The 22704-nt window shown below is 37.2% G+C and overlaps 2 protein-coding genes across 9 annotated transcripts in view, besides 7 other annotated features; one reads left to right on the top strand and one right to left on the bottom strand.

The window, feature by feature from the left end:
• Positions 1 to 5368: 5368 nt before the first annotated feature.
• GOLT1B (golgi transport 1B) lies at positions 5369 to 21988 on the bottom strand. The gene is made up of 5 exons (NM_016072.5): positions 21829 to 21988; positions 16801 to 16892; positions 15216 to 15394; positions 11401 to 11482; positions 5369 to 8108 (listed from the first exon to the last, which is right to left on the bottom strand). Exons 1-5 carry the CDS (start codon positions 21851 to 21853, stop codon positions 8070 to 8072), a joined length of 417 nt encoding a protein of 138 aa, NP_057156.1. The 5' UTR covers positions 21854 to 21988; the 3' UTR covers positions 5369 to 8069.
• Positions 12525 to 12722: a silencer, noted in NCBI's record as "fragment chr12:21663989-21664186 (GRCh37/hg19 assembly coordinates)". NCBI's record gives its function as "represses an EF-1alpha promoter that drives an FKBP-Casp9 reporter gene in an ReSE screen in HepG2 liver carcinoma cells {active_cell/tissue: HepG2}" and the evidence as "EXISTENCE:reporter gene assay evidence [ECO:0000049][PMID:32094911]".
• Positions 20640 to 20689: an enhancer, noted in NCBI's record as "active region_6092". NCBI's record gives its function as "activates an Ori minimal core promoter by ATAC-STARR-seq in GM12878 lymphoblastoid cells {active_cell/tissue: GM12878}" and the evidence as "EXISTENCE:reporter gene assay evidence [ECO:0000049][PMID:35858748]".
• Positions 20923 to 21630: an enhancer, noted in NCBI's record as "NANOG-H3K27ac-H3K4me1 hESC enhancer chr12:21655081-21655788 (GRCh37/hg19 assembly coordinates)". NCBI's record gives its function as "activates a minimal SCP1, AML or CMV promoter by ChIP-STARR-seq in primed H9 embryonic stem cells {active_cell/tissue: H9 hESC(primed)}" and the evidence as "EXISTENCE:reporter gene assay evidence [ECO:0000049][PMID:30033119]".
• Positions 21631 to 22338: an enhancer, noted in NCBI's record as "NANOG-H3K27ac-H3K4me1 hESC enhancer chr12:21654373-21655080 (GRCh37/hg19 assembly coordinates)". NCBI's record gives its function as "activates a minimal SCP1, AML or CMV promoter by ChIP-STARR-seq in primed H9 embryonic stem cells {active_cell/tissue: H9 hESC(primed)}" and the evidence as "EXISTENCE:reporter gene assay evidence [ECO:0000049][PMID:30033119]".
• Positions 21631 to 22348: a biological region, named in NCBI's record as "NANOG-H3K27ac-H3K4me1 hESC enhancer GRCh37_chr12:21654373-21655080".
• Positions 22142 to 22704, top strand: part of RECQL (RecQ like helicase) — a 32726-nt gene continuing 32163 nt past the window's right edge. Inside the window, exons 1-2 of one of the 8 annotated variants that reach the window (XM_047429300.1) lie at positions 22142 to 22296; positions 22562 to 22607. The gene's annotated coding sequence lies outside the window, so the exon portion shown is untranslated. Of the gene's footprint in view, positions 22608 to 22704 lie in introns of all 8 variants that reach the window. The other 7 variants (XM_047429299.1, XM_005253462.6, XM_005253461.4 and 4 more) reach the window with 7 other exon arrangements.
• Positions 22289 to 22348: an enhancer, noted in NCBI's record as "active region_6091". NCBI's record gives its function as "activates an Ori minimal core promoter by ATAC-STARR-seq in GM12878 lymphoblastoid cells {active_cell/tissue: GM12878}" and the evidence as "EXISTENCE:reporter gene assay evidence [ECO:0000049][PMID:35858748]".
• Positions 22489 to 22678: an enhancer, noted in NCBI's record as "active region_6090". NCBI's record gives its function as "activates an Ori minimal core promoter by ATAC-STARR-seq in GM12878 lymphoblastoid cells {active_cell/tissue: GM12878}" and the evidence as "EXISTENCE:reporter gene assay evidence [ECO:0000049][PMID:35858748]".

Below are 22704 nucleotides of genomic sequence, written 5' to 3'. Positions count from 1 at the left end.
GTGCTGTAGCAGTGGTGATGCCAGCTGCAGTGTCCTTTTAATAAAATCTTTGTTTTGCCCAAATCAGCCATGTTTATTGGTTTCTGTTGATGTGACAACTAAGAAACAATTTGTAAGACATGTATATTGATGGGGATGATCAGTAGGGAAGGAGAAATTCATGATGTAGAAGAAAGGGAATATAACAGCAAAAGGAAATTCTTAGAAGGCAAGAGGGATAGGATTCCAAGTATATCAATATTCAGTTAAAAGATCTATATACATAGGCAGATATTGAACAAGGACCTGAGTATCCACCACATACTAAGTTACCATGAAAGAAAGAGATGGTCCCTCTCTTAGTCCATTCAAGCTGCTATAGCAAAATACAACAAACTGGGTAGCTTACTCAATGGAAATTCCTTACTCAACTCTGAAAGCTGGGAAGTCCAAGATCAAAGTCCAGTCAGCATGGTTGGGTTCTGGTGAGGGCCCTTTTCTGGGTTGCAGACTGTTGTCTTCTCTGCTGTGTTCTTACATGGGTGGGAGGGGAAAACAAACTCTTTGGAATGCTTTTATAAGGACATTAATCCCATTTATGAGGGCTCCACCCTTATGACCTAGTCATGTCCCAAAGGCCCTACCATCATATTGAGGTTTAGGATTTTAGCATATGAATTTTGGTAGGACACAAACATTTAGGTCATAGCAGTTCCTTCTCAGTTAGGGCAGTGGTTTTCAGGTATTAATGTGCATGGGAATCACCTGAGAATTTGTTAAAATGCAGATTCTGATTCAGTATACCTGGAGTGGGGCCTGAAATTCTGCATTTCTAATAGACTCCCAGGTGATGGTGATAGATGCTATTGACCCTTGGACATTTTGAGTAACAAAGATTTAGGGGTATAAGAAGTGACGAAAACTAAACCTCAGAGTTTGTGTGGCTGGAAGAATGGCTAGACAGAAATAGCAGGGACTCTGAGGAGAGAACCAGTAAGTTTCATTTGGGATTGAAGTTTAAAAGGCTCATGCTATCTACCTGCAAATACTTGGAAAAGAGATTGGAGTTTGGGCACTGATATTTAGACTTGACACTGATATGCAGACAGGAAAACTGAGGTTTGGTTAGTAAATGAGAATGGAATATAGAAAGTAGTATGTGAGTAGAAACTTGAGAACTATTTACTGTCTTCAAGGAAAACAGCAAAGCAGGAAAAAACTAGAGGCATTAGTGTAATGTTCTATTTCTACTGTCGTAGGAGAGGAGAAAGATAAAAACTGACTAAAAGGTTATCTGGATGCTATTTTAATAATGCTTCAAATGTGAGATTTTAGGATTTTCATTTCTAAGGATTGTAGCAATTTCCTTCAAAAAAGAGCGATAAAAGAAGTGAAATATGCTGTGTTTATATTTTAAATAGTCACACATGAAACCTGATTACTAGGTTACCTGAAAAATAAGTCAAATGCCTTTTTGTTCCCAAAACACAAAGGTTTTGGGAAGAGGAGCAGGAAAATGAATCACCAATAAAATGTGCTTTGAACTTACAATTTTAAGAATAAATAAATGTGCTTTGCTGATAATAGTTTAGCTAATGAATTCACAAGCAGATGTCTTACGTCAAAGCTGCCATTTTCAGTTTAATGTGCACAAAAGAAGGGAATGGTTTTGACATATTATCAATATTGCAGTCTTATCAAGAGTAACATGCTAGAATGTGTTACTTCTAAAAGGATTTCCAAAGGGCACTGAACCCCAATAGAATGTTTTTGTTAAATCACAAAGCTTTTAGGGTTTTTACAGGTCCAAAACAAGACATGGGTTAAGTTACAATATTTGGTATAAAACAAAACAAAACACACAACAACAAAAATCCAAGATAGGTAAAGCCCTTGAATTTTATTCTCCTGACAGTATGAGCAAGCAGTAGATGTTGAACAAATGGTCTTTTAAGCCTTTTTTAAAGGCACATTCAATGAAGACTGTTTTGAATTCATCACTGTTACCTGGATTCTTGTAGTCGACTGTAGAGTGCCCAGAACCTATTTAACCAGTGATCACCTGTCACTGTTTAAATGACATTCTTTCAAGGTCAGTGATTATTGTGTTCACAAGGAAAACAGCTGCTATCTTGGATAAGGTTATCTGGACAATATGGCTATTATGGTACAAAATGCCTAAATTACTTTTTGATGACAGCATAGAGAGAATTTGGGTTGGATAACATGAATAAAGATATGGGTTCAATCTTCTGTGGGGCTTGTATTCAGCCCCTTAGGCCAGCTGTCTCATCATCAGATGAAAGAAGTCATTTCCCCAAAGGGTTACCAGTTTTAGGAGGGGCTTTAGGGGCATTAAGAAGGCCTGCTATCCAAAATAAAACTTCCCATTAATTGGCCAATGTCTTAACCTGGGTTTCCTTTTACTTAACACGTTAATTCCCGATGAGCTCACACCCTGAAGCAGATAATATTGCAATTCTTTGTTTACAGACTGTTTCAGATCCTTTCTCCAGAACTGCAGATAGGGAGGAGGAGAAAATATGAAGATATTGGTTTTCTGAGGAGAGTTAAGATAAGTACTGTTTAGGGGGAGTTGGGGTAGATAAAAGTGAAGCAGGGAAGACTCAAGTTCACCAATTTCATACTAACTTCTGGATTAAAATGTTTTACCATTCATTTCCAAAATGACAGAATAGTGCATATGAATTAATATACACCCACCATTACTACAGGATAATTCATAAGACATGGCTGCTAATGGTGTATGCTACGTAGGAGCAGCACAAAGACAGAGGACAAATATAGCAAAAAGGTCTTGGATCAAGATGCAAACAACAAAACACTAATACTCAACATTTTGGAAATGTTGAGCCATATAAACACTGGTAGCTCAGAAATGTGAAGAATGATCCCATAATCCTACAATGTGAATTAGGTTGAATACCAGCTGTTGCCAGGTGTGATCAATAGGAAGATGGGATAGTTAGTTGTCCTACTTCTAATCTATATCACTGGGCCAGAAATACTCTCAGGACAATAACACATGTTATTTTCACAACACTTTAAATTTGAGAAAGCCCTTTGACACCCATTGTTACATTCATTTTTCACACCAAATTCATGCAGTAGATCCTGAATTTCACTTAAGAGCATACTCATAGAGTTTGACTTGACATGACACTAAATGGTAGAGTTAGTGTTTTAGCACCAAGACTGGTCTTTATACCGCCACAGAACTCATAGTCACCTCATGGGATCACATCACATCAGACGAGTCTTCTTCAGGGATTCAATTACCCATTATTATCAGTATTAATTCATATATGTAAAAGACCATCGTGCAAGTGATCCCTCTTGTCATAGGGTATTATTTCTGGCTTTTGTCACTTAAGGAATAAATTTCATTTTCTCTTTGGGATAATTTTACTTTGTAATACCAGCTCCAGTGACCAACAAAACCCAAGAAACTCGTCATTTCCTATTGGAAAGAAAGGAAAACTGAGTATCAGTGATTCACACCAGCCTCAAAACTTTAGGAGTAGCTTCTGGTTTCCCCAGCGGCCTCCCTTTTTTGTGAAGAAGGGCAGCCAATCTGGAGGCATGGTCTTTCTTTTATCTATGATCCCTCTCTCCGTTGACAAGCTACTGGGTACAGTAAAGTCCTAAGGAATGTGAAGTAGAAAGGTGGACTTCAGCGGGGGCCAGATCATTAGATTTAACTTTACGGCTGATAGAGGCTGATTTCAATATATTAGAAGTGATCAGGCCGGGCATGGTGGCTCAAGCCTGTAATCCCAGCACTTTGGGAGGCCGAGGTGGGCAGATCACGAGGTCAGGAGTTCGGGACCAGCCTGGCTAACATGGCAAAACCCCATCTCTACTAGAAATACAAAAATTAGCCAGGTGTGGTGGCGGGTGCCTGTAATCCCAGCTACTCAGGAGGCTGAGGCGGGAGAATCACTTGAACCCAGAAGGTGAAGGCTGCAGTGAGCCAAGATCATGCCACTGCACTCCAGCCTGGGTGACAAGAGCAAGTCTCAAAAAACAAAAACGAACAAACAAAAAAAAGAAGTGATCAGTGGGGCCAGCACCAGAAGAGCTGGAAGAATGAACTTTCACTCATTAAACCACTTACTGGGCACCCACTAAATGCCAGGAACTGGAGATACAAATCAAAGAGGAGATTTCGAACCTCAAGAATCTTTTCCATAACCAAATCAATACAAAGCAAGTGGAAAGTTGTATGAGAGGACAGGGAAGGAGCAACTGTTTGGGCCTAGCTGGTAAGGAAAGATATGACAGCAGTGACATTTTAATCAGGCCTTGAGAATTGAGTAAAGCTAAGGTCATGGAAACGCATGTTAGTCAATGAAGAATTTTGGGCATGCTGCTAGTGTCCAATCTCCTACATGGATACAGGTAACAGAAGAACTGAGGTTGGGGCCTTTTGGCTCAGGTCAAGATTAGAGAAATATGCTGGATATTTAATAACAGATTCAAGACTTCCCGTTTACCCAACAATAGTCTGGATTTGCAGCTTAATTAGTGAATTCAACAAATACTTACTGGGTATGTTAAGTGGTAGACTTGGCCAGTGTTTTTTTTCGGCCTTAATAAAATTTACAGTTAAAACAATGTAGGTGTTGTGGTCTTATTTAGGTGAGAAAAACTTAAGATCCTTTCCATCCTGAGAAAAAATATATAAGCATTTCTCCTCTAATTTCTAAATTCCCTCACCGCTTTTTAAACTTTGCAATTAATGGTAGCAATCATAGCAGCTTTCAGAAAACTACCCCAACTGCCTGTGGCAATACAGATTTGGTGGCAGGCTTCCAGACAACACAAATAGCAGTGACAGTTCTAAATCCCTAGGCCTACATTAAAAACAATTCTCTTCCCCCTGCCACAAAGAAACCAAAAACATACGCTACATTAAGTTGAATACATATACAGACTTGCAAAAGAAATTACATCTCAAAACAAACCTCCCAGAGTTAAAGCTGGTATTATTTTTTTTCCTCCAGACATCTTTTGAAAATGCGAACCAATCACACAGCTTTTCTCCCAGTCAAGAGTTACTAAAACTATTCAACACAGCTGAAGGTTGAATAGTTCTAGTAACTCTTGACTGGGAGAAAAATAAGAGGTTGGGGTGTTTCGACTGCAAATTCTTCTACCACCATTTGTTTGCAGTGTAAGTCAGGACAAGTTATGTGGAAATACGGCTAAGAATTTAAAAGCAATGTTAACATTCTAAGCACTTAATGAGCAGATGGCACATATCTTGTTCTCCTGGGTCTCCCACATTCAACACAGGACTTTTAGTATTCAAGGGGTACTCAGAAAATGTCTATTGAATAACATAATATACAAACTGGGAGTCTGATTTTTAAAAAATAGCATATTGCCCAAGGTAAGTGACTTTATTTTACAGTTTTCAAAATTAAGAACATTTTTGCTTACTTGAAGTCTATTTGTATTCATTAGTACATTTCAACAATTTGGAAATGAAAGATGTGAAGATCATTTGATAAATAGAACACTGCATATAAGGCTAATTTTTTAAAAATGAGGTTATTTTGCAATGCTAAATTAGCTTTTAGAACTTCATAACACAGATATACTTGACCACCAATTAATAGAAAAGTACCCTTTTATTGAGAGGTAAGACAAGTATATTTACAATATTCAATTGTTAGATAATATAATCTGACAGTGGGACTTTTTAAAGCAGCAGTATTTCAGGAATTACAATTTATAAGGGGAAAAGAAAAACATTCCAAATATGTTTCTGTTACAGAAAATACACTTGAACAATGACAGAAACACTTAAGGCTATGTAGTATTAGACCTTTTCCTCCATCTCTATAAAGTACATTTTTGTTACAGACAGAAGGCTGATTTTGGAAAGAAAGAAACAATAGGATGTATAGTGCTTTCTATCAGCAGACTAGTATGTTTAAAAATAGTCTCATCAAGGGTTCTGAATAAGAAATATAAATGTTGCCAGGCAGTCCCAAACTCACATTTGATATTAACTGCAGACTCATTTAAAACTGAAAACTGCTCCAGCCTCTCTCAATCTTTACTAAGGACTGGGAGATTATCAAACCCTTTCAAGTCTAATAATGCTTTTGAATTAAGATTATTGAAAAAAGGAATCTCTGTTACAGTGCAAAGAACATTTTGATAGAAATTCATGTCTACAAAGGAGTTAAATACAGATGTCCCTTACATTAGCAGATACTATTCTTGCTCTAAAAAGGTAGAATTATCAAGACATTGTAAATAATATGGGTCAAAAATATGTGTAACAGAGTTCTACAGGGCACCTTATATAAAGTCAATCCTCAAAGTATGTATTTGACACTCTCCAAGTGAGGATATTACTTTTTTGAAGAACATTAGACACAACAGTAGCCTCTTATTATTCCATTAACTATTGAGGTAGGAGTCTCCATTTGTCAATATCATCCCATTTTCACAGATACATCGTAAGTCAAATGCAAGTACCAAAAATGTCTTAATCCTTAAGACTAAACCATCACACTATACACCAAGTCTTTCCTTATTTAGATGAGCAAGATTGGGAGTTCTCTGTGTATTAAGAGATTTAACTAAAAATAAAATAAGCTGTAATCTATTTTTGTAGACATGTTTGTAAATAAATACCACAGATTTCAATTATACTTTTATGCATTAAAAAGCTTTGCAACTGTTAAAAAAACAAAACAGTGCAATCAGTGGTAAAACAAATAGTACTATGGCTGTTGAAATGTTTCCCTACATCTACCACTAAAGCTGTCACATCTTGTAAAACTAAAGAAAACAGCTATTTCCTACTGTCTAATAATCAGCAACGGTGGAAAAAAAACACTTTTTTTTTAGTGTCATGTTCTTAAGAAACCACAGTCAGTTTATTACAGTGAAATGACTTTAGCACGTGAACTCAGGTATTTTCTAATTAACTCAAGATGAGTGATCATATGAAGGATATGTCATGCTTAATGACTATTATATGCTAGGAAAAAGCTGAAAATAAGGGAAAACTCAGATTAAATGAATAGCCCTTTAAAAATAGCCATAAGTTTAACCTTTTAACATGTTACATGTCTTAAAGTAAACATTATCAAAAGTTATTTTAATTTATGAAAAACAAATAATAAGCCACTGCTAAAATTTAAAAAAAAGAAAGAAGAAAGAAAAATTACATCATGACATGGAAAAAATCCATTTGGTTTGCATCATTTAGTATCTTCAATAATACTATTCAATGAGACAAGCTATGAAACAAACTACTTCATTCATGGTCAAGAATGCTTTTTTGTTAAATACTTACACGTAATGAATGATATAGACAGATACTTAGGAGGGCAGACTCCCAAGAAGTATGAGACTTTCCGGAGTATGCTGCTGACAAAACTTAGCTATAATTTAGTAACTAAAAGTTAGTAAAGAATGACCTTTGCATATTCCAACAAAGAATATCTAGTTCAGATTTTCACCTGGCTTTGAAATATTAAGATTCAGAAGAACCACAAAAGTTTTATTTTAACCATGTTTACAAAAAAAAGTAATCCATACATCAAAATTGGGGTTTCCTTGGTTTTAATACTTTAAAATGACACAATCCAATCGAATTCATGCATCACTTCCAGAGATACAGTGCAACTGGAAATATTTTTGCCATTGCAGTGGACATTTCTAAAAAGCAAATGCCTATGGATGCTCCTGAGCCTTCAAAATAAAAAGAAAAGAAACAGGCACCACAGTTCTCTAAGGATGGCTGAGTTTCGCACATTGTGGAAAAACAACACAAATAGCCTTCAAGAGTTTCTTAAGCATCATTAACATGGATTTCACCTCTCTCAGTTTGCTTGCTGACTTCTTCTTAGTTCACTTGAGTAGAAGCCTGTTTTCACTGCTTCTTTGCTAATTTGCTGCTGGTACTTTGTAGGCTATACGTTTTAAACTCCTGTAAAGAACATTACAAGCTATTTCATGTAATTTAATTTTGTGCTGAATATTCTTCAAATGACTTTATAAATAACACAATATTTTAAATGAGTCTTCAAATTCACTTGTTGTTATACCATATTGTTGCTTTCTCCAACTTTATCTACAAACTGTAAGGAGAAGAAAAACAGAGAATTAAAGAAAGCCCGGAACATTATAAAACATTATATCAATATTTAAAATGTTGATTTTAAAAACCCAGCCTTACAAGAAGAGTTGTGGAAATTTAAGGTATGACTGACAATGACTAATCCAGTACTACTCACCATCATCTTCTGATACATAAACGTGTATAAAATTTTTTTTTCTAAAAGTTGTTTTTTGCATGACATGTTATACATATGAATTTAAGGGTGCAACATGAAAAATGCAACACAATGAATAAAGAAATTGTATAAGATGAAGATAACACTGCTAGCTTAACAAAAAATAAAAAATAAAAACATAAAAAAAACTGAAATGTCAGCCATTCATGCATTAATGAACCCAATAAGATATTTCAACTGACCATTACTGTGGATCTCTTCTGGGCCTATGTAGTCTTTGGACAAACAGATTTAACTCCATTAAGTTCAATAGTTAACAACAGTTATTGACTAAAAATACTTTAAATGTGTATTCTGGACTTTGGATTGAAAGTGGTAATGACATTAAAGATAGATTTAATGATGTAAGCATAAATTTATAATTATTGAATATAAATTTTAACACACATTACTGTAAGTGGTTATTTACTTTGGTTACTCCACCCCAAACATAAAGCAGTTGGGCTTTTTTTTTTTTTTTAACATTCCAGATGGTGATGTAAAGACTGATATTGTATATAATTGGTAGAGACATTAAAAGTTATATAACCCAGGTGGTTATACTATCAAATTCTAGTAATCATCTGATCATTTATTTTGTTTCACGATTCACATGTTTACATAAGCACTTATCATGATGAATAACGATAAGAAACATATTCTATTGTATTGGGTGTCCATTTATGCAAATTCTTGAGAATCCTTAAATTAAGGGCACAAATAATGATTACAACTCTGTAACTAGAAGTTTCAGTACATTCAAAAGCCATTCTAGGTATAAATAACACTGACCACTGTATGAATTTGCAGATTAATGCAAATGAAATCAGAGTATACCCCTATAAGCCTACATTCCAACATTTTGTTATATTATCACAAACAGGTGGCTGGCCACTGAAACTAAAAGTTGCTCTCAAAGAATTCATGGATTTATTAGAATTTTAAGGTAAATTTAAGTGGAGAGAAAGCACAATATTCTCTCTCCAAAGGTAACTTGAAATATTTAGATTGTCTTGGCTGTAAGGTTCTGACCCTAAAATTACCCTGGGGATGGAAATGGGATTAGGCTTATAGTGGTACTTATTCTTCCATAGGTAAGCCATTCTTTAGCTCTTTGAGCATTCAATAAAATGCTATGAACTTTCTCTCTAGAAACATCTATAAAAATCTGTGAACAACTTTAGAAAGTTGATTAACTTCCCTGAACCTAACTGGAACTTGTAGTCTTTTAAGTTTTCCTATAAAGCTAGTTTATCCTAGTTATTTAGGACAGAGTTGGATCTATGAAACCAATCCAAAGAAGGATATGAATACTTCTGATATGGGTCTGACCTAGAGCCAAAAGGATTGTAGCCAACTCAGCTGAATTCTAGATCACCTAGATTCTTTTAGAAATTAAGGATTTTGTTTAGTTTTGAAACTGAGGAGGTAGGCTAAGAGACAGTCATCTGGTCTTGTCTTGAAATTGAGCAAGTTCCCTGAGGTCAACAAAATGCCATCCTTCACTCACTTGCTTAGCAGAAAATATTTTGAGTTTCCATTATACGGCAGATATTATGCTGGGTCACTGGGGATAGAACAATGACTAAAATACAACCTGTCTCTGCCCTCAAGGACTGTAGTTTTACATGGAAGTGCCTCCCTTTCTCCTTTCCTTTCTCTTTTTTCTTTTTTGTTTGAGACAAGGTTTTGCCCTATTGCCCAGGCTATAGTGTGGCGGTGTGAGCATCGCTTAACACAGCCTTGATCTCCTGGTTCAAGCAATCCTTCCACCTTGGCCTCCCAAAGTGCTGGAATTACAGGAGTGAACCACCATGCATGGCCTGAAGCCTTTTTTTTTTGACAATTAAATGAGAGGTAAGGCTGGGTGTGGTGGCTCACACCTGTAATCCCAGCACTTTGGGAGGCTGAGGTGGGGGCATTGCTTGAGCCCAAGAGTTTGAGACTCTCTCTAAGAAAAAACAAAAACAAAGAAAAAAACAGAGGTAAATGCTATGATAGAGTTGTGCACAGGAATGTTATAGAAGCACACCCCGAGTCAGCCACAGGGAGTCAGGAAAGCTTTTCCCAAGGTGGCAAAAAATAAGCTGAATTCTGAATGGCCTTCTAAGACTCCACCAAAAGATGTTACAACCTTCAAGGTAGCAGTTTAGTACGAAACATTTGTTGAATGAATATTGAATAAAAGGAAGAAACTCTATTTGTTAACTTTGAAAACATTCTCTTTAACTCTTGTCTGATTTGATTCCCTTTATTTTATCAAGGTGGAAACCAAGGCACACACTGGAAAACAAATTTGACAAGCTTGTTCAAACTGTAAACAGAGCTGGGAATAGACTCTTACCATCTGAATCCCAGTATAATAGTGCTTTATTCAACTCTTTTTTTTTTTTTTTTTTTTTTGAGACAGGGTCTTACTGTGTCACCCACCCAGGCTAAAGTGCAGTGGCACAATCATGGCTCACTGCAGCCTTGACCCCCTAGGCCCAAGCCAATCCTCTCACCTCAGTCTCTCGAGTAGCTGGGACTATAGGCATACCATCACACCCAGCTAATTTTTGTATTTGCGGGGGTAGAGATGGGGTTTCACCATGTTGCCCAGGCTGGTCTCGAACTCCTAGGCTCAAGCAATTCACCCACCTCAGCCTCCCAAAGTGCAGGGTGTGAGCCACCACACCCGGCCTTATTTAATTGTCTGAATCTAGTCTATTGGTGATACAGTCTGAGAAACAAAATATTTGTAGGAAATAATGGTTTCCTTTTTACATTATTGCTTCTAAAATTAGAGATTATATAAAAGTTAAATAAAAAATGCCCTGAACTCTCAAAGAGAAAGGTAGCATAGCATATCAAATCTGAGTAACATTAAAAAATAGAGAATATGGATCCAGAAATGGATACGGTAAAACAAAATTTCACATTTTATAGGTTTAGCAATAATTATTTTTTGGTCTTCATGGTACTCATGATCTATGTGAAGTAACTATATCATAATACAAAACTCAGCAATTAACCAAGTATCAATTACTCAAATTTCTAGAAGTAAAAAGCATCAAAATACGTATTTTGTTGGCCTAAAATATACATGATTACTTACTGATCTAATTCCAGGTAAATTTAGGAGGGATCCAAGGACTGGCACTCTTCTAATAAAGCCAACAACGACAGGAAAGAAGCCCCTGGGAGAGGGAAAAAAAAGGTTCTTAATATTTACACATTTTCTATTTTCAAAATAATTGCTAACCAAGGAAAAAGAAAGTATCCTGTTAAAATTCTGAATAATTGAGGGTCTTCAAACTTAGAAATAACTACAAACTTAATTAAAAATTTTGTGATTGTTGGTAAAAATGTGACAAGTACATGAGGCCTAGCTATATATAACTCAGATTATGAGTTAGCTCAACTGCTGAAGATTTCTCCAACTATGAGTTGTGTGGGGTGAAACTGATAAAAAGAAAGGGGCTGTTGAGACCATATGTGTAGAACCATGAAAATAATAATAGCTATCATTTACTAAGTAAGTACTAAGGGTCAAAACATTTAGTTAACACTAAGAGACTACCTGCCAGATACTGATCCTCACAGTATGTCTCATTCTTTCTTGGTAGAAATACAAGTCTACAGAAGTTAAACAGCTTCTAACCAGTTTAAAATTGACAGTAGATCAGTTAAGCTACCTCAGTATAGGAAGAGAATGAAATAGTTTATTTTAAAAATGCAAAGAAACTAAACTTTTCCTGGGTCTTAAAATATGTAGTGATACTGTGAAATATATATTTGGTCTTTGACCTCATTTTCTGGCTTACAACTCCTAAAATACTTAAGAGTCTCTACAAGGTGATGTCTTTTTGTATACTAATGAGTTATCATCAATGGTTGGCAGCCCCTAGGCAGCTTCAGGATGGGGGCTGGTCACCAGAAAGACCAAGGCAAGATTAGAGGGCTGGAAATCTGAGCCCTACCTCCTAACCTCCACGAAGGGGAGGGGGGCTGTGAAGCTGGTCACTCATGGCCAATAATTTAATCAATCATGCCTAGTAATGAAGCCTCCATAAAAACCCAAAAGGACAGTGTTCAGGGAGCTTCCGGATAGCTGAACACAAGGATGTTCTTGGAGGATGGTGGGTTGGGGAGGGTGGGGGGGGATCTGCGACCCTCCCCCCTTTCCTTGCCCTATGCATCTCTTTATTTGTATCCTTTGTAATATCCTTTATAATAAACTAGTAAACATCAGTGTTTCCTTGAGCTCTGTGAGCCTCTCTAGTAAATTAGTCTGATCCAAACAGGGGATCGTGGGAACCCCAACTTAGAGCTGATCAGTCAGAAGCATGGGTAAAACAACCTGGGGCTTGTGGCTGGCATCATTGGGAGTGGAGGACAGTTGTGGGACTGAGCCCTCAACCTGTGTGATCTGGAGCTATCTCCATGTAGACAGTATCAGAACTATATTGGGAGGACACCCAGCTGTTGTCTGTTGCAGACAACTAACTGATTGCGATATCGGGAAAACCCCCCACCCATTTGGTCACAGCAGTCTTCTGTGTTGATTGTGGTAAGACGAGTACAGAAAAAAAGCTGTTTTCTTCACAGAGTTAGATAGGGATGAAAATACTACAATGAATACAATTCAGAAGTTAAGCAATAAGATTCTGTTATGGATCTGCAGAAGTCAAAATAAAGAATTAAACAGAAAGCAGAATTTTTAAATTAGACAAGTATTTATGTTGATGGTGTATGTGCGTGTTTCAAAGAAAATCACAATCATTTTCTAGTAGTAATGAATTCAAAAGATCATTTATTTTGTTTTAAGTATTGTTTTAAAACATAAAAATGTGTGATTTCAAATGCCATTATTTAGGGTTATAAATATCTAGAAAAACAACATCAAAGACCCTTGGCACTAAATCTCCAGCTCAGAATATCTCAGAACACAACAAAACCCAACAACAAAAACTAGTATTTATACCACAAAGCTCTCTAAACCACGAAACCTGTGTATTACTCCAAGCTTGTCGATGATACTAAGACTTCCCATTTTTTATTCATCTCAAAGATCAGCTTTGGCTTTTAACCTTCATTACTAAAACCCCCACATAACTGGGAAAGCCAATGATTTTCTTACTTCTTAAGGTGCTTAAGTTTTCTGCTGCAAGATACATCTGCCAAAACAAACTCTTCTTCACTCTTTTCTCTCTTAGCCACTATGATCTTTACTCCTAGTTCTTCTCCCACCTCTTTTCCTAGTCTCTTCTAGTGTTTTCTTCTTTTTCTCCACCTACCCTAAAATGTCAAAAGTACTCCAAGATTCCAGTCTTATCACTGTATATTCTGTACTGTATTAACCGCCTCTTGACTGGCTCCCCTGACTTCAGTTTTTCTCTTTAATACCTACTTTATCCTGATATCAGAACAACCTTCCTAAAACATCTACCCTGTTGTACCACCTCTGGCTTAAAAACCTCTGTGCCCCACTCCCCCGACCTTCTCCAAACACTGCTCCCCCAGCCCAAATTTGGTTACAGGATAAGGTATACTTTTCTCAACAAGTCATCAAAGAAAGTTTGTAACCTGGCTCCAGGCTTCATTTTCAGTTTCATTACCAACCATTTCCTTCAACTGATCACATGCTCCTGTTCTATAAGAGTATTCATTCTTTTCAGAACAAGCTGTGTGTTTTTATGGCCCTGTCTGTTCCTTCTGTTAACTGTCGTTCCCTTTCTCGTTTATAGGATAAATTCTTACCCATTCTTCAAAGCCCAGTTTATCAGTTAACATTTCTCACCTCTCCTTGAATTTACTAATTTTTTAATCATGCTTCCACAATATTCTGCATACACATTTATAATGGCATTATGACTATATCCTATTGGTATTTTTAGAGTCTACTTTCCATAATAGAAATGAGAGATTTTCTAAAGCAGATTTGGTACTTAATTTATTTTTATGTCTCCTGTGGGTAATACAGTGCCTGGCAGACAGAAGACAAAGGATATGCATTTCTGGAATAAATAATTAAGCTCAACCCTACTTAAAGTTATTTTCTTTTCTGTTTTTTTTTTTTTTTTTTTTTTTTTTTTGAGACAGAGTCTCGCTCTATTGCCTAGGCTGGAGTGCAATGGTGTGATCGGCTCACTGCAACTTCCGCCTCCCAGGTTCAAACAATTCGCCTGCCTCAGCCTCCCGAGTAGCTAGGATTACAGGCGCCTGCCAGCATGGCCAGCTAATTTTTGAATTTTTAGTAGAGACGGGGTTTCATCATGCTGGCCAGGCTGGTCTTGACCTCCTGACCTCAGGTGATCCGCCCACCTCGGCCTCCCAAAGTGCTGGGATTACAGGTGTGAGCCACCGCACCTGGCCAAAGGTATTTTCATATAGATATATACACATACTATTGTTTATCTGCTAACTGGCATTTACAAAATATTACCTGCTCAAAATCTCCCATAGTAGTGTATTTGGTAAACAATCTTCTAATACGTATATGTGCTAAATAAATTTCCATCAAGTAGCAGTAGCTATGAAGTATAAGATTCTACACACCAAAATGCTGGATCTATCTATCTATCTATCTATCTATCTATCTACCTACCTACCTACCGATTGATCGATCGACCGACCTACCTACCACTATTTAGTTGATACAAATATCCAACATAAAGATGGTGCCTTAAAATGCCAATAAAATAAACTTTATTGTGCTGACAAAACAAGATAATTTATACCATTAGGCAATCATTCACATGTGATAAAACATTTTTATAGTTGCTTCATCTAAATCTATAAGATTCAACCTAAATAAAATTCCATTTAAGGAAATGATCATCATCTTACTCCAACTGATGCAAATATCTGAGTTTTTGTACTAACTATCTGACACACTGATTTACTGAAAGAGACAATAATATGCCTTACCTGAACAAGAGAAAAAATCCATAAATTTCGAAGATCATGCCTATCAAAGGCCAACCAATAAGGACTACAAATACACCACCCAGAAAAAAACCTGTAGCTTTCATTTTATGTTTTTGGAAGAAGAATCTGAATGTTCTTTCTAAACCAATTACAAAAGCCAAGCCGGCTACAAATAAAACCTAAAAGAGAAAGAAAATACAACACGGAAAAGGTAATTAAACACAATGCATAAATTTTAAACGTAAAGTCAAAGCTAAATATAAAAAAAGAAGCACATTTGTTTGGCTTTTAATGTGGGCAACTGGCCAGACAGAACTGTAATGTACAACCAAGCAGCAGAACCAAGGAGTGGGTTATGCATTTTAAAGTTGTAGCTTTGTTCCACTTGTCTCATTCCTCTTCTATCTTGATTAAATGGAGAAAAAGAGAAACAAAGAAAGATTAGACGTTACCAAGGGGCATCTGTGTCTGCAGTAGTTTTCCTAGTTTTAGCTGGATGAGGAAGGCTTAGTCAAGCAGATGAGTTGGCAAGGCATAAAGAGGAAAGCTGCCCATAAATATGTCACCCAAGGGTATTCCTCTTGGTTCTGAAATATTCATCATAGGCTACAGGAGTTTCTATGGATGGGAGAAATATTGACATGGCTAAGTTGATAGCAGAAGAAACAACGTGAAGCCAAGAAGATTCTAGTTTTATAAATTCTAGAATATCTGGTGGCAGCAGAAATAAAAATACAACCATGTGTTTTCAAATATTTTGAATGTATTCTGTGGACAAGAAATGGTGATGGATTAAGAGCTTGCTTTCCCCAGGTTTTCTTTCCAAATACTTGCCCTCCCCATTAACATTCTTTAGTGAAAAATATTTCGCACAAATACATATTAAGCCTAATGGTTAAGCTTCATATTCTAGGATACTAATGCTATTATCATTTATTAAGACATCAATTTTGAACAATTTTGCTATTCTTTATCTTTTCCCATTTCCAGTTAAAAGCCCAAATATATATGTGTGTGTGTATATATATATATACACACACACACACATACAGTGTCTTCACTACCTTAGAAGGGTTATTATTTATTTCTGGATCATAACCTCCACACATGAATAGCATAGTACACATTCCAAATAAACAACATAGATCCCTTTCTAAGCAAGTCAACCATTAACATAGAAATATATATTTTTAAAAAGGTTAAAAAAATCTATCTTATGCAGCTGAATCAAATGTGAAGTCTTGGATGTTTAAAGTAAAAATACTTTAGTGATTTATCAAGACATGAAACTATCAAGTCATCTATTTTGAACTCCTATTTAGAGGCAGCCTTCATTTAATCTATTGTAAATCTCATGACAAACACTTAACAGAGTAGTTATGGAATTAGAAAACCTCATTAAGTGTTTACCTTTTATTTAAACAGAAAGCTGACAGGTTTCATTCCTGATGGAAATAGAGAATGTAACAGGAATTACTTATGAGTAATAGTGAATTATTTTCCCCAAATTTAATAGCAGATAATAATTCATTCGTAGTTAAAATTTCCTTATAAATTTAGTTAAAATATATATTTAAAAACTCACATTTCCAATAGCCAGTAGTGCTTTGTCAAAAAAGAGAATCATTCCAAAGAACAGGAAAAACACTCCAAATCCTGTTAATCCCATTCCAATTTCTGCAATATAAGGTATATGGTTAAGGGTAGAGAAAAATTAAAGTCACATTAACATCCCTGTAAACTAAGAAAATTTTCCAGTTTTCCTTTCATAGGTATAAGAAAACAGGTACCCAACATTGCAGGTTAACTTCATAATGACATTTATTTAGCTCTTATAACAAATTAATTATCAGCAAATTATTTCAAAATTTAAAACATGAATGAAAATTTCTAAGCCTTATATGGGAGATAGCATTTCTCAGACATAGCTATAATAAAAAAGATAAATCGGGATTCTAAACCTTTGGTTTTAATATGTAATTTGTTTTTTTCCTCCTGAAAAGCTCTCTCGCATCAGACATAAATGTATAGGTTTCCTTAATTACTTATCTCCTTTCACATTCTATAATTATTATTTAAATGCACAATATCTGTAGTTCTTTCTTCCTCTTAAAATTGATTCCTTCTTTACTGCATTAGAAATGTTATGGTAGGTCCGCACAATCAATATCCTTTATCCAATTATATACTGCTTGTCACAATGGCAACAAGAAATATTTCGAAAATCATGGTACCAGTATTCTCAAAACCAAATTTTCAGAAGGTCAGGCATCACTTTTAATTTCTTGATTACTTATTATGGACTTATCTACAAATTTACCTAAACTATAAATCTACTTAAATATTTGGTCTAGAGTCCTAAAATCACCTCTCCGAAGTTTCAAAGAATACTGTTTTACCTAATATTAATATTCTAGGTTTTTCATGTTTCATTAGTTTCATTAAAAAACAAAGAATTGTTGATCAACTGCCAGATGCAAGGAACTGTTCCAGGTACTGAATATACAGTGGTAGACGAGGTGTAAGCTTTAAAGTCTATGTTTATCTTGTATATAAAATTAATACTTTTATTGACTGTGCATTCTCTAGGTCTTATTTTTTTAGTATGAAAAGTCTTAACTTCTAAGGTGACAGATGTACTCTTCTATTAATGTTATAAAGCACAATTCACTAAGTTACCTCCTTGATCATTTTAGTTTTGATTCTAGAAAATAGCCATTAATCCGTAGTTTAGTTAGAAGCACAATCTGCATACAGATGAGTCAGAGTAGAAGCCACCGTATTTTTAGAAGCACAATTTAAAATACCCTATCACTGATTTCTGATCTATTGCTTAACTTTTTTGCCTCAGCTCCAGAAAGCTAAAATCTAGGTCACAGCTACTTAAAAAACTCTTAAGTCATATAAAATGTTCTGATAACTTGAAAACTTTTATCAACTTTAGCTTTTTCTACATTCCCCACCTGCTCAATTTCCTGATAACTAGTGTCTTCCATTGCAGACACCTTTTGTTCCCAAAGTTAGTCTAAAATAATTCAGGTACCTGGTCTATAAATACACCAGTTAAGTGAATTCAACACACATTCCTATGAAAATTTGAGGCTGATACTTTCATGATCAAAGGCCTTAAGAGAATTTACCAAATTAACTATTTGGATAGTGGACATAATTTCATAGAGGAAAATATGGACAAAAGAGCAAGTAAAATTCTATTAAATAACTATTTAGTAGTTAGGATTAAACATCGGCAGCTTTGTTAGTTGAAGATGACTAATTTCTATCATTTCACAAATAACCTTGATGATTACATAAAAATTCTGAGATGTTTTTAGAAAGGAAGGTATATGGAAAGACACCTACTATGTACTGAGAATTTACCACGAATTAGGCCTTATGAAGTGCTTCACATACCTTATATATAACTTAATACTTCCAATACTACTGGAATGCAGGTATAATTACATCTTTTTAAAGATGGAGGAAATTGAAGTTTAGAGAGTTGACTTAAGTTGCCTAAAGCCACACTTCTAGATAAGCATTCGAACCAAGGTCTTTTGAATCCAAAGCTCATGTGCTTAACCATTAATGCCATACCTCTTCCCACAGAATTTTTATTTTTTAGGTTAAAGGTGTTTGGTTACATGAAACTCAAGGACACTGGAGTATTCTGAACTTCTGGGGGACGCATCTTTTAGGGGATTCAAGTTTAATATTAGCTTGTTATCTAACATAGCCAAGTAGAACTATTAAAAATTAACTGCGGTCAAAAAGGCCAATCTCTGAGTATGGTTTACCGTGTTATGAAGTGTTTATACAAAAATTTTATAATTTCTTTAACAAAATTGTGAGGTAAAAGGTAGCACTGGTCCTATGGTTCATATGTGCAACCATGGACCTAGAGGTAATTCAGTAACTTGTTCTTGATCATAGAAGCAGCAAAAATGTGTGTGTGGGTGCTGGTGGTATGGAGGCAGGTACAACAGTCTGTGAAGTCAGCATTCAACCAGTCTTCTCACTCCACAGACAATGGTCCTACAACTACAACATGGGAACCAAAATATTCCACTACTTTATCCAGTACAGTCCAGCGGGAGACATTGCCCAAAACATCTTTGCCACAACTGGTACTGGCAATGACATTGCCAAGTAGCTCCTGATCCACACTGGTCAAAAGTCTCAAATTGGCCTCATTGTGCCTTTTTCTCACCTCCAGGATCCCCCTTTTCCCTATCCGTATGCATTCATAAGCCCTCTGGCTATCAAAAGCCTTGCATAGAGCTGCCTTCTTCCCATCGGAATCATATCCAGTAAAACAAACTTATCTTCCTTCACTCCTCCCACATGTTTAAAAAACTGTCCACAAGTTAAAAAAAATATAAAAACAATTTAATAAAACGAATCTGTCTAACATAAGGAGCATACTGTGGAAATTGTATAAGGAAAGACACGCATAATCTAATGGCAAACACTGTTAGCATTTTGATATCTTATTCACAATTTTTTAAAAGCAGCATTGTCTCTCTTACCATACCCTTTGAAAAACAGAAGTCAAGCAAGAATTCAATTGAACATTAACTGTACTGGAGAATGCAATTATCACACTAGGCTTTTAGACAATGTGATGAAATGAAGATTTAGAGGCAGCATGCCCCTCCTCCGCCCCTCTGAATAAGTCTTGTCTTTTTTGGGGCGGTGAGGAAAGTCCTAGAATGCCTTAAAATAATCATGAATTTCCATTTATTCTACTCTGAGCAGTGCTTGGCCACTCTCTAAAAACCAAAATCCCAGAATAATCCTGACAAATCACTTGAATGATGGCCAATCCCTGCAGTTAAACACACTCACACACAAACACAATTTGAAATCCAAAATGCATTTGGTTCACTAATCGTTTTATGTTTCAATCCACTGTTTCACCTAAAACATGTGACAAGTGAACAGCAAAGAGTAAAATTTCATTGCCCTCACAAAATTTAATGAAGTGAGGAGAATGCTTCTCAGGGAGAATGCCCATAGTCCAAACCCACTCTCTTGTTTTTATAAAGCAGGCACTCATCACTATATTAAGTCTTCAAAAATATAATTTCTATGCACAGATTATTCTCAGATCTCAAATAAAGTTTATATCAAGTCTTCTTAGGTGATAGTGGGGTACAGTGCAAAAGGTTTCTGAGCCAGCACACCTGGGATCAAGTTTTGTTTCTGTCACTTTTTCTTTGACCATGCACTCAATTTCTTTTGTGCCTCATTTAACTTATGAAAGGGGCATGCTTCTGTGAGCCTTACAGGGCTCTTATAAGAATTATGCATAATGATTCACATGAAAGCACATGGTTAACTGAAAGAAAATACCTTTATATAATTGCCAGTAATTATTATTACACTAGATTCCTATCCCCTCAAGACTACACTTTTATTTTCTTTGATCAGAACAGGCCAGGCCAATGGACCAAAGTGGGCGGCAACCTTGGGGCAGGTGGCCCCAAGAGGCAGCCCCAGTCCAGCCTCAGGAGGGAAGACAGCCTGATTGGGGGGTGGCAGTGTGTGTAGGAGGCCTTAGAAGCTCTGTGAAGTTGGTCTGCCATGACTTGAATCTCCACAAGAAGACTCCACTTTAAAATAGGGCATTTTAAATAAACTTCTATTTTTCACTTCAATTCACTGTTTAAGTCTTAAAATATTGAAAATCTGAGTTAACTGGAGTGAAATGAAAGGCGTGGCAGATAAAGCAAAGTGAGACAAAAAGAGACTCTTATGAACATCAAAATATGAGGTACAGAGCTTGGGCAGACATAAATACAAAAATTATTAATATTAACAAAAAGCAGTAGGAAAGTGGAAATATTATAATGAAAGAAAAGGAAACCGATATCAATGCTAGCTTTAGAGATGAAATAGGCCTGGAGAACTCTGTGGCAGGCAGAGAGCGATGCTAAAATAATAAAACAAGCCACAAAGCACAATATACAATACTAACGAAATATATCCTTTAATGGCACACAAAGTGGCTTTTCTCTACTGCTTGAAACTTTAGCAGGTAGAAAAGTGAGAATGTTTCAAGAGACTTCTAAAAGGTTGCTTACAGTACTGGCAAAAAGCGAATATTCAAAATGCCACATTTAAGCGTAAGGACATTTTCAAAAAGAGCCTACTGTAGGTGACATTTAAAATACCGCCTCCCAAATAACCAGCCAGCCAGGGACTTGTAGAGGACCCGAAGTGTGTCATGCGCATAAACGATCCCGAGAGTGGGCCGCGGGCACCACGCAAACTTTCTCTTGTGGCAAGCCCCTAGAACAAAGCGCCCATCTCACTGGGGATGAGGAGATCAGCGCGACCCTGGAATGAGACAGACTCTGGGCTAAAGCTCCCCTCCCAACATAGGGCGTCCCACCCTGCCCCACAGACTCTTCTCCCAGGTCAGGTCCGCCAGTCCAAGTCTAGCCCCGGCATCCCGAAGGCAGCCCCTTAGGGTCCCAGCAGCCCTAGCTCTGTCTCGCAGGCCACCGCCCCCAACCCAGAGCTTCATTCATTGACCCCGGCGGAGGGGCGAGACCCAGCCGGGCGATGGGTGTGCGCGGCTCGAGGCGGGGGCCCCGGAGCAGGTGCTTACTCTGCGTGTCCGTTAAGGAGATCATGGCTGCAGTGGTGGGGACAGCGGCGACAGCACCTCGGAAAGCCCAGGGTGGGAAGCTGAGTCGGGAGAAATGAAGCCGGGAAACAGCCCAGGCGAGAGCCGCCACGTCTTCCGGAAACACGCAGCCACCCTCACTGCCGCTTTAAGAGCGCTTCCTATTGGCGAAACCTGCTTCCAATCTCAACCAATAACTCGTAATGTTGTTCGGTGACGCGCATGGTGACCACACCCCTTGACCAATTAGAGAAGGGAGTTATCTGTGATTGGCTGAACGGACCGACCCGGAAGGGTGGATGCTCTCAGCTGGCTGGCGGGAAGATTTTACTCCCGAGTAGCGGAAAGATCTGCTCGAGGCCTGGGTGCTTTGGTGTCGGAGATCCGAGAGTCGGAGATCGGAGAGTCGGACACAGGACAGTCGGACACCGGACAGTCAAACACCGGAGAGTTAGACCGGGCTTCTCGGTGGGGAGAGGCTCTGGGATAACTACTGTTACAGCTTTGAAGGGTCAAGGGTGTGCGCTTTTTGTTTCATCCTTCCCTTTCCTGCTGCAGGGCGAGGCCGGTCTGTAGCGGATCACTTCCTTTCGCCCACACATTGGCGGAGGAGAAACCGGAAAGTTAATCACTGCCCTGCTCTGAGAACTCGGGCCTTTAGGGGCACGTTCGCCTGCTGACCGGTCTTCTGATCTCCCCATTCTTTTCCATGCAGGAGGATTGGCCACCAAAGCCTGTTTATTAGCAGCTGCCATTTGTTGGTAAATACTACTGGGGATGCTTCTTCCACCCCCTGCTTCACAGTAGCGGAAGGGCGGGCGTTATTAATATTAAATTACTATTGCCTCTAAATGCAGG

The sequence above is a fragment of the Homo sapiens genome, chromosome 12 (assembly GCF_000001405.40).
Source record: "Homo sapiens chromosome 12, GRCh38.p14 Primary Assembly".
NCBI lineage: Eukaryota > Metazoa > Chordata > Mammalia > Primates > Hominidae > Homo > Homo sapiens.
Note: the sequence above shows the minus strand (reverse complement) of the source record. Positions and strands in the feature narration are given on the sequence as shown.

Bases quoted from the DNA above. Each gene is read 5' to 3' on its own strand.
- GOLT1B (NM_016072.5), bottom strand. From the start codon at position 21,853: ATGATCTCCTTAACGGACACGCAGA. The intron at 15,395-16,800 runs GTGAGTTTTTAA...TTTCTCTTTTAG, and splicing joins CACTACTGGCTATTGGAAAT to GTTTTATTTGTAGCCGGCTT. The intron at 11,483-15,215 runs GTAAGGCATATT...TCCCTCTCCCAG, and splicing joins GGATTTTTTCTCTTGTTCAG to GGGCTTCTTTCCTGTCGTTG.